This window comes from Homo sapiens, chromosome 21 (genome assembly GCF_000001405.40).
Source record: "Homo sapiens chromosome 21, GRCh38.p14 Primary Assembly".
Lineage (NCBI taxonomy): Eukaryota > Metazoa > Chordata > Mammalia > Primates > Hominidae > Homo > Homo sapiens.
This window is the reverse complement of record NC_000021.9, coordinates 17,683,542-17,695,353: the sequence shown is the minus strand read 5'-3', so window position 1 is coordinate 17,695,353 and position 11,812 is coordinate 17,683,542. Positions and strand designations below refer to the sequence as shown.

The following is an 11,812-nucleotide window of genomic DNA, read 5'->3' as shown; positions in this document are numbered from 1 at the left end:
CTGTAATCCCAGAACTTTGGGAGGCCAAAGCAGGCAGATCACTTGGGGTCAGGAGTTCAAGACCAGCCTGGCCAACATGGTAAAAACCCATGTCTACTAAAAATATGAAAATTAGCTGGGTGTGGTGATGCACACCTGTAGTCCCAGCCGCTCAAGAGGCTGAAGCAGAATGTGGGGAAAAGAAAAAGAGATCAGATTGTTACTGTGTCTGTGTAGAAAGAAGTAGACATAGGAGTCTCCATTTTGTTCTGTACTAAGAAAAATTCTTCTGCCTTGAGATGCTGTTAATCTGTAATCTTACCCCCAACCCTGTGCTCCCTGAAACATGTGCTGTGTCAGCTCAGGGTGAAATGGATTAAGGGCTGTGCAAGATGTGCTTTGTTAAACAGATGCTTGAAGTCAGCATGCTCTTTAAGAGTCATCACCACTCCCTAATCTCAAGTACCCAGGGACACAAACACTGCGGAAGGCCGCAGGGACCTCTGCCTAGGAAAGCCAGGTATTGTCCAAGGTTTCTCCCCATGTGATAGTCTGAAATATGGCCTCGTGGGAAGGGAAAGACCTGACCGTCCCCCAGCCCGACACCCGTAAATGGTCTGTGCTGAGGAGGATTAGTAAAAGAGGAAGGAACGCCTCTTTGCAGTTGAGACAAGAAGAAGGCATCTGTCTCCTGCCCATCCCTGGGCAATGGAATGTCTCGGTGTAAAACCCAATTGTACATTCCATCTACTGGGATAGGGGAAAACTGCCTTAGGGCTGGAGGTGGGACACGCGGGCAGCAGTACTGCTGTTTAAGGCATTGAGATGTTTATGTGTATGCATATCTAAAGCACAGCACTTAATTCTTTACCTTGTCTATGATGCAGAGACCTTTGTTCACGTGTTTATCTGCTGACCTTCTGTCCACTATTATCCTATGACCCTGCCACATCCCCCTCTCCGAGAAACACCCAAGAACGATCACTAAATACTAAGGGAACTCAGAGGCCGGCGGGATCCTCCGTATGCTGAACGCTGGTCCCCTGGGCCCCCGTATTTCTTTCTCTATACTTTGTCTCCGTGTCTCTTTCTTTTCCAAGTCTCTCGTTCCACCTAACGAGAAACACCCACAGGTGTGGAGGGGCAAACCACACCTTCGGCAGAAGAATCGCTTGAATCCGGGAGGCGGAGGTTGCAGTAAGCCGAGATTGCGCCACTGCACTGCAGCCTGGATGACAAAGTGAGTGAGACTCCATCTCTAAATAAATAAATAAATAAAATGAATAGGTTTGGCCTTGTAGAGTTCCTGAACGAGGCAGGAAGTGGGCTGGTTATCTCGTATCCATCAGAGTGCAGGCTCTGGGCTTAGTCCTGCTATTACTGTGCATTGCCTGAGTGCTTGGGCAGTTCATGACCACTGGGGCTCCAGCCTTCTCCCATCCTTCCCCACATGTGCCCAGTGTACATAGCTGGGCTCCTGACTCAACATCATCAGCAGCGACCCAGTCTTCCCCAAAGCTGGCAGCTGCAGGAAGAACTCTTAATTACTTGACTGGGGCCTAACGATCTGCCAAACCCTGACACTCCCTTTTCTGTGGGCTGAGTCCTGGCCATTAGTGAAGGTCTTAACCCAAAATATGGACAACCCCAGAGAAAACAGTTGTTGCAAACAGAGAGTTATGCAAACCAAGGTTTTCAGCAAGTGGATGACATTTTGGGGTTTATGTTTCAGGAGGATGAATTATTAAAAAAAAAAATAGGGGGAAATGCAGCAAAGCATTTAGAAACTGGTGTCGGCCGGGTGCGGTGGCTCACGCCTGTAATCCCAGCACTTTGGGAGGCCGAGGCGGGTGGATCACGAGGTCAGGAGATCGAGACCATCCTGGCTAACACGGTGAAACCCTGTCTCTACTAAAAAAAACATACAAAAATTAGCCGGGCGCGGTGGCGGGCACCTGTAGACCCAGCTACTCGGGAGGCTGAGGCAGGAGAATGGCGTGAACCTGGGAGGCAGAGCTTGCAGTGAGCCGAGATCCCGCCACTGCACTCTAGCCTGGACGAAAGTGCGAGACTCTGTCTCAAAAAAAAAAAAAAAAGAAAAAAGAAACTGGTGTCATAGTTTAGGGAAAAAGACAGTGAAGGAATAATTTCTCAAAGTAGTGGCAGAGAGAATGGAGAGGAAGGGACTGAGAACTTGGTCACAGATTAGAGGCAGACGGGACAAAGGCAAAGATGGTGCCAAGATATCTAGTTTTTATAAAGCAACATTTTAGCTAGATCAGCTATATTGCTTTTGCATCATTTGTTACCTATTTTTTAACCATACTTAAAATGTTCACTCATAGGGAAGTACTATTATTAACCAGTGTCGCTGTGTGTCATAGCCCATCTCTAGAAAGCACTGTAAGGAGAGCCGCATGGAAAACCTTTCTTCTGGCTTAAACAAAGTTCCTCCACCATGGATGTCAAAAGTGCTTGGAATGGTAAAGCAATCATTTAACCACCAAAAGTAACACTATTATTTTCACTTCAAAATAATCCCTTGAACTTCTATCTTGTAAAAATAAAAACCAAGAGGCCGAGTGCAGTGGCTCACGCCTATAATACCAGCACTTTGGGAGGCTGAGGCAGGTGGATCACGAAGTCCAAAGTTCAAGACCAGCCAGGCCAAGATGGTGAAACCCTGTCTCTACTAAAAATACAAAAATTAGCCAGGCGTGGTGGTGGGCGCCTGTAATCCCAGCTACTCAGGAGGCTGAGGCAGAGAATCGATTGAATCCAGGAGGCGGAGGTTGCAGTGAGCTAAGATCGCACCACTGTATTCCAGCCTGGGCAACAGAGTGAGACTTTGTCTCAAAAAAATAAACAAATAAAATAAAAAATAAAAACCATGAATACTTAGTTTATCTTTCAAGGTGCGACTCTTTTTAATTTCAGGATTGCTAACGTGCAAATAAAATCAAATAAAAAATAGTAGCAAGTCACTAATCTTTGTGTTGCCTTTTATTTTTCAGATGTGTATTTTTTAGCTTTATTTAATAACTGTATTCCTAATTTCAACAGATGTGCATTGCTTTGGTATTTGGCTTGGGAGTTTTTTTTTTTTTTTAGTAGAAATAATACAAATCACATTTTATTCTTGGAATGTTTATTTTTTCTGAGATTCTGAGAAATGTGCATAGATTTAAAAGAACAATTTAAAATTTATATTTACTTTTGGACCTTAGAAGTGTCATTCCATTTATAGAGGTTCCATCCTAAAAAAACACATGAATATCCAAATGTCCAATTGTCATATCTTGATTCCCTGAAGGAGTATAGCTGCTTCCTTTACTCTACTTAAAGTTGCTAAGTAGAACCAAAAGCAAAATCAAGCAGTAAACCTGCTGAAGTAAGATCCTTCATTGCTACTTTGCCTAATGCCTAATTATAAATTAGAATACAACAAAACCCTCAGGTTTTCTTTGCAAAGAAACTTGACTCATATGCTGAGTCCACAACCTCCAAAATGCAAACTTGGCTTCCTAATGCACCGGCCAGAATCACTGGAGAAGCCACCCCAGAGCAGTAAACTGAAGCAACTCTTTCTTTACCAGGAATTTTATTTTTCCTGGCTTTCTTCATTTAACAAAATAATAAAATGATTGCTAACCTCCAATTTTCTTCTGTTCCACAAAAACTTTCCTACCATGGAGGGAGCTTTAAAAACGTGCACTATGAGGCCGGGTGCGGTGGCTCACGCCTGTAATCCCAGCACTTTGGGAGGCCGAGGCGGGCGGATCAAGAGGTCAGGAGATCAAGACCATCCTGGCTAACACGGTGAAACCCCATCTCTACTAAAAATACAAAAAATTAGCCGGGCGAGGTGGCGGGCACCTGTAGTCCCAGCTACGCGGGAGGCTGAGGCAGGAGAATGGCGTGAACCCCGGGGGGCGGAGCCTGCAGTGAGCCGAGATCGTGACACTGCACTCCAGCCTGGGTGACAGCGAGACTCCGTCTCAAAAAAAAAAAAAAAAAACATGCACTGTGAAATTATTTTCCTTCTGGTGAGTTCATTCAGCACAGCACGTGCAAGGAGGAACAACTCCTCCTTCCAAAGAGCAGATAAATAATTGCTAATGAGTAAGAAGAAAACTCCTGGCCAGAGGAAGGAGAGTTGCCAGCTCCTGGCTCTCTTATTACGTCTCCTGCCAGTAACAATTGGTAGGTGGCCCCGTAATTTTCCACACTCAAGATTCAGAGGGGCTAACATTGTTCTGTTCTTCTTCCTTCAAATAAACCAGAGAGAAAATGAAAAAATAAATAAATTAAGGAGCAGCAGGGGTGGCTTACTTCACTGCTGCTTTAACCTCTAACAAAGGAGCAAAAACCTCCTACACCTGCATGTAAGAACACAGCTCAAGTGCAACAGGAATTTGGAATTGAAAGCCAGTTTCTGAGCAGTAAGTTTGGAATTGCCTTAAGCCAAGAAAGTCAGCACAAGCTAAGACTTGAAGGGATATCTGAGCGTTAACAGAAAAGGGTCTTGATCCACACTCTAAGAGAGGGTTCTTGGACCTTGTGTAAGAAAGAATCCAGGACAAGGTCATAAAGTGAAAGCAAGTTTATTAAGAAAGTAAGGGAATAAAAGAATGGCTACTCCATAGGCAGAGCACCCCCAAGGGCTTCCGGTTGCCTATTTTTATGTTTATTTCTTGATTATCTGCTAAAGAAGGGGTGGATTATTCATGAATTTCCCAGGAAAAGGGTGGGCAATTCCTGGAACTGAGGGTTCCCCCTTTTTTTAGATTGCCCTGACATTCCCATGGCATTTGTAAACTGTTGTTGTGCTGGTGGGTATGTCTTTTAGGATGTTAATACATTCTAATTAGTGTGTAATGACAATTAGCATATAATGAAAGTGATCAGAAGTCACTTTTGTCGCCATCTTGGCATTGGTGGGATTTGGCCAGCTTCTTTACCACATGCTATTTTATCAGCAAGGTCTTTGTTAACTGTATCTTGTGCTGACTTCCTATCTCATCCTGTGACTAAGAATGCCTTAACCTCCTGGGAATGCAGCCCAGCAGGTCTCAGCCTTATTTTACCTAGCCCCCATTCAAGATGGAGTCACTCTAGTTCAAATGCCCCTGACATGAGGACTTGACATCTCCCTGCTTGGTCTTCTCCCCACCTGGTGCTTAAGAGAAGAGATGGTAGGCATATTAACCCATCCATCACTCACACTATTCTGTACCTGCTCAAGTGACCTAAACCCAGAGCTCTGACTCTGCCTCCAGCTAAGAGGATCAGGCAAGACAGAGACCCAGGAGCTCAGTTCCAGAGCCTCAAATTCATCCTTATGTCTTTGTGATTATAACCCATGAATTGGGGATTTAAAATACGTTGGACCAGAATTTTAAAAAGTCAAATACATTGACTGCAAAAACAAACCAGCAACACCGAGAGGAACTACAGATCCTCTGAAGGAAGCAGACTGCTCCTGCAGGACCTGGGAGACACCCCAAATACTGTGAGTGTCCCAACCATAGAAGTGGGAAAGGAAGATCCACCTCTCCTGGACACACACACCCACTGGAGAAACCGAAGTTCTGTTTGAGGGAGAAGTTTTCGACTTTACCTGGTGCCGAGTCCAGTTAGAGAGCCGAGTGAAATATGGGGTAGAGGAAGCAGCAGAAAGGCCCTGGGAGCTCGCTGGGTCCCTAAGCAGCCAGTTCCTGCCTGGGACCACACATCAGGAGGGTGGCCAGAGGAGCAGGGGGTGAAACTACAGGGAGAAGGAATTCTCTAGCTGAACTTTGTAACAATTTGAACAGGGCAAGAAGCCTCTGGGCAAGAACTCGGGAGGGCACGAATCAGGCATGCAGACTTCACAGGCAGGAGAAGAACTAAAGCGTTATTCTCTCCCAGCTGGGAGGTGGATAGCCTCAGGCAAATTTTCAAGCCCATCTCACCCTCCTCCTGGAAACAGATTCTGGGCTGTTGGCCAGGGCATGGTGGGAGTGAGACCAGCCCTTCAGTTTGCATGGGAGCTGGGTGAGGTCTGTGACTGCCGGCTTTCCCCCACTTCCCTGACAACCTGCATGACTCAGCAGAGGCAGCCATAATCCTGCTAGGTACACAAGTCCAGTGACCTGGGAACCTCAACCCTATCCCCCACAGCAGCAGCAGCAAGACCCGCCCATGGAGAGTCTGAGCTCAGACACACCCAGCCCTGCCCCCACCTGGTGGTCCTAGCCTATCCACCCCGGTAGTGCAAGACAAAGGGCATATAATCTTGGGAGTTCTAGGGCCACACCCACTGCCAGTCCCTCTCCACACTACTGCAGCTGATGCTTTCTGGAAAGCGCCACCTCCTGGCAGGAGGCCAAACAGCACAAAAATAGAGCATTAAACCACCAAAGCTAAGGAACCTCACAGAGCCCATTGCACCTTCTGCCAGTTCCACCCGAAAAGGTGCTGGTAACCACAGCTGAGAGACCCATAGATGGTTCACATCACAGGACTCTGTGCAGACAAACCCCAGTACCAGCCCAGAGCTGGGAAACTCGCTGGGTGGCTAGACCCAGAAGAGAGACAACAATCACTGCAGTTCAGCTCACAGGAAGCCACATCTATAGGAAAAGGGAGACAGTACTACATCAAGAGAACACCCCATGGGACAAAAGAACCTGAACAACAGCCTTCAGCCCTAGACCTTCCCTCTGACAGAGCCTACCCAAATGAGAAAGAACCAGAAAACCAATCCTGGTAATATGACAAAACCAGGCTCTTCAATACCCCCAAAAAATCACACTTGTTCACCAGCAATGGATCCAAACCAAGAAGAAATCCCTGATTTACCTGAAAAAAGAATTCAGGAGGTTAGTTAATAAGCTAATCAGGGAGGGACCAGAGAAAGGTGAAGCCCAATGCAAAGAAATCCAAAAAACTGATACAAGAAGTGAAGGGAGAAATATTCATGGATATAGATCACTTAAAGAAAAAACAATAAAAATTCAGGAAACTTTGGACACACTTTTAGAAATCTGAAATGCTCTGGAAAGTCACAGCAATAGAATTGAACAAGTAGAAGGAAGAAATTCAGAGCTCAAAGACAAGGTCTTTGAATTAACCCAATCTGACAAAGAGAAAAGAATAAGAAAATATAAACAAAGCCTCCAAGAAGTCTGGGATTATGTTAAACAACCAAACCTAAGAAAAATTGGTGTACCTGAGGAAGAAGAGAATTCTAAAAGCCTGGAAAACATGTTTGAGGGAATAATTAAGGAAAAATTCCCTGGCCTTGTGAGAGATCTAGAGAGCCAAGTACAAGAAGCACAAAGGACACCTGGGAAATTCATTGCAAAAAGATCTTTGCCTAGCCACATTGTCATCAGGTTATCCAAAGTTAAGACAAAGGAAAGAATCTTAAAAGCCACAAGACAGAAGCACCAAGTAACCTACAAAGGAACACCTATCAGATTAACAGCAGATTTCTCAGCAGAAACCCTACAAGCTAGAAGGGATTGGGGACGTACCTTCAGCCTCCTCAAACAAAACAATTATGAGCCAAGAATTTTGTATGCAGTGAAACTAAGCATCATACATGAAGAAAAAATAGTCTTTTTCAGACAAACAAATGTTGAGAGAATTTGCCACTTCCAAGCCACCACTACAAGAACTGCTTAAAGGAGCTCTAAATCTTGAAACAAATCAAAATAGAACCTCTTTAAAACATAAATCACATAGAACCTATAAAACAAAAATACAAGTTAAAAAGCAAAAACAAAAAAGAAACCACCAAAGTACACAGGCAACAAGGAACATGATGAAAGCAATGGTACCTCACGTTTCAATACTAACGTTGAATGTAAATGGCCTAAGTGCTCCACTTAAAAGATAGAGAACCACAGAATGGATAAGAACTCACCAACCAACTATATGCTGCCTTGAAGAGACTCAACTAACACATAAGCACTCACGTAAGTTTAAAGTAAAGGGGTATAAAAAGGCATTTCGTGCAAATGAACACCAAAAGCAAGCAGGAGTAGCTATTCTTATATCAGACAAAACAAATTTTAAAGCAACATCTGCTAAAAGAGACAAAGAGGTACAAGGCCTTGTCCAGTGGGAAAATATCACAATCCTAAACATATATGCACCTAACACTGGAGGTCTCAAATTTATAAAACGATTGCTAATAGACCTAAGAGATGAGATAGACAGAAACATAATAATAGTGGGGGACTTCAATACTCCACAGACAGCACTAGACAGGTCATCAAGACATAAATTCAACAAAGAAACAGTGGACTTAAACTATATCTTGGAACAAATGGACTTAACAGATATACACAGAACATTTCATCCAACAACCACAGAACACACATTCTATTCAACAGCACATGGAACTTTCTCCAAGACAGACAATATGATAGGCCATAAAATGAGCCTCAAAAAATTTAAGAAAATCGAAATTATATCAAGCACTCTCTCAGACCACAGTGGAATATAACTGGGAATCAACTCCAAAAGGAATCTTCAAAACCATGCAAATACATGGAAATTAAATAACTGGCTCCTCAATGAGCATTGCGTCAAAAAGGAAATCAAGATGGAAATTTAAAAATTCTTTGAACTGAATGACAATAATGACACAATCTATCAAAACCTCTGGGATACAGCAAAGGCAGTGCTAAGAGGAAACTGCATAGTCATAAATGCCTACATCAAAAAGTCTGAAAGATCACAAATAGACAATCTATGGTTACATCTCAAGGAACTAGAGAAACAAGAACAAACCAAACCCAAACCCAGCAGAACAGAGGAAATAACCAAGATCAGAGCAGAACTAAATGAAATTGAAATAAAAAGACAAGACAGAAGATAAATGAAACAAACAGCTGGTTCTTTGAGAGATAAGTAAAATTGATAGACCATTAGCAAGATAACCACAAAAAGAAGAAAGAAAATCTAAATAACCTCACTAAGAAAGGAAACAGGAGATATTACAACTGACACCACTGAAATACAAAAGTTCATTCAAGGCTGCTATGAACACCCTTATGCATATAAACTAGAAAACCTAAAATAGATGAATAAACTCCTTGAAAAATACAACCCTCCTAGCTTAAATCATGAAGAATTAGATACCCTGAACAGACCAGTAACAAGCAGTGAGATTGAAATTGTAATTTAAAAATTACCAACAAAAAAAAGTCCAGGACCAGACGGAATCACAGCAGAATTCTACTAGACATTCAAAGAAGAATTGATACCAATCCTATTGACACTATTCCACAAGACAGAGAAAGAAGGAACCCTCCCTAATTCATTCTGTGAAGCCAATATCACCCTAATACCAAAACCAGAAAAGAAAACTACAGACCAATATCCTTGAAGAACATAGATGCTAAAATCCTTAACAAAATACTAGCTAATCGAATCCAGCAACATATCAAAAAGATAATCCATCATGAGCAAGTGGGTTTAATACCAGGAATGCACGGATGGTTTAACATACGCAAGTCAATAAATGTGATACACCACATAAACAGAATTAAAAACAAAAATCACATGATCATCTCAATAGATGCAGAAAAAAAAATTTGACAAAATCCAGCATCCCTTTATGGTTAAAACTCTCAGCAAAATTGGCATATAAGGGACATACCTTAATGTAATAAAAGCCATCTATGAAAAACCCACAGTCGACATAATAATGAATGGGGAAAAGTTGAAAGCATTTCCTCTGAGAATGGGAACAAGACAGGGATGTCCACTCTCACCACTCCTCTTCAACATAGTACTGGAAATCCTAGCCAGAGCAATCAGACAACAGAAAGAAATAAAGGGCATCCAAACAGGTAAAAAGGAAGTCAAACTGTCACCATTTGCTGACTGTTTACCTTGAAAAACCTAAGGATTCCTCCAGAAAGCTCCTAGAACTGATAGAAGAATTCAGCAAAGTTTCTGGAGACAAGATTAATGTATACAAATCAGTAACTTTTCTAAACAGCAACAGCGACCAAGCAGAGAATCAAATCAAGAACTCAACCCCTTTTACAATAGCTGAAAAAAAAAACAAAACAAACAAACAAACAAACAAACAAAAACCTTAGGAATATACCTAACAAAGGAGTAGAAAGACTTCTACAAGGAAAACTAAAAAACACTGCTGAAAGAAATCATAGATGGCACAAATGGAAACATATCTCATGCTCATGGATGGGTAGAATCAATATTGTTTGAAAATGACCATACTGCCAAAAGAAATCTACAAATCCAATGCAATCCCCATCAAAATACCACCATCTCTCTTCACAGAATTAGAAAAAACAATTCTAAAATTCATATGGCACCAAAAAAGAGCCCACACAGCCAAAGCAAGACTTAGCAAAAAGAACAAATCTGGAGGCATCACACTACTTGATTTCAAACCCAAACCCAGCAGAAGATAGGAAATAACCAAGATCAGAGCAGAACTCATACCATAAGGCCATAGTCACCAAAACAGCATGGTACTGGTATAAAAATAGGCACATAGACCAATGGAAAAGAAAAGAGAATCCAGAAATAAACCCAATACTTTCAGCCAACTGATCTTCAACAAAGCAAATGAAAACATAAAGTGGGGAAAGGACACCCTTTTCAACAAATGATCCTGGGATAATTGGCTAGACACATGTAGGAGAATGAAACTGGATCCTCATCTCTCACCTTATAAAAAATCAACTCAAGATGGATTAAGGACTTAAACCTAAGACCTGAAACTATAAAAAATTCTAGAAGATAACATTGGAAATGCCCTTCTAGACATTGGCTGAGGCAAGAATTTCATGACCAAGAACCCAAAAGCAAATGGAGCAAAAACAAAGATAAATAGTTGGGACCTAATTAAACTAAAGAGCTTTTGCACAGCAAAAGGAACAGTCAGCAGAGTAAACAGACAGAATGGGAGAAAATCTTCACAATCTACACATCTGACAGAGGATTAATATCCAGAATCTACAATGAACTCAAACAAATCAGTAAGAAAAAAACTAACAATCCCATCAAAAACTGGGCTAAGGATATGAATAGACAATTCTCAAAAGAAGATATACAAATGGCCAACAAACGTATGGAAAAATGCTCGACATTACTAATGATCAGGGAAATGCAAATCAAAACCATAATGCGATACCACCTTACTCTTGCAAGAATGGCCATAATCAAAAAATCAAAACACAGTAGATGTTTGGTATGGGTATGATGAACAGGGAACACTTCTACACTGCTGGTGGGAATGGAAACTAGTGCAGCCACTATGGAAAACAGTGTGGAGATTCCTTAAAGAACTAAAAGTAAACTACCATTTGATCCAGCAATCCCACTACTACCCAGAGGCAAATAAGTCATTATTCAAAAAAGATACTTGACATGCATGTTTATAGCAGCACAATTCACAATTGCAAAATCATGGAACCAATCCAAATGCCCATCAATCAACAAGTGTATAAAGAAACTGTGATATGTATATATACACACACACACACACACACACACACACACACACACACACACACACACATTGGAATACTACACAGGCATAAAAAGGAATGAATTAACAGCATTTGCAGTTACCTGTATGAGATTGGAGACTATTATTCTAAATGAAGTAACACAGGAATGGAAAACCAAACATCATATGTTCTCACTGATGTGTGGGAGTTAAGCTATGAGGACACAAAGGCATAAGAACGATACAATGGACTTTGGGGACTTAGGGGGAAGAGTGAGAGGGGGATGAGGGATAAAAGATTACAAATATGGTGCAGTGTATACTGCCTGGGTGATGGGTGCACCAAAA

The 11,812-nt window shown here is 42.0% G+C and overlaps 1 annotated feature.

Moving 5' to 3' along the window:
* Positions 6,070-6,972: an enhancer, noted in NCBI's record as "H3K27ac-H3K4me1 hESC enhancer chr21:19060700-19061602 (GRCh37/hg19 assembly coordinates)". NCBI's record gives its function as "activates a minimal SCP1, AML or CMV promoter by ChIP-STARR-seq in primed H9 embryonic stem cells {active_cell/tissue: H9 hESC(primed)}" and the evidence as "EXISTENCE:reporter gene assay evidence [ECO:0000049][PMID:30033119]".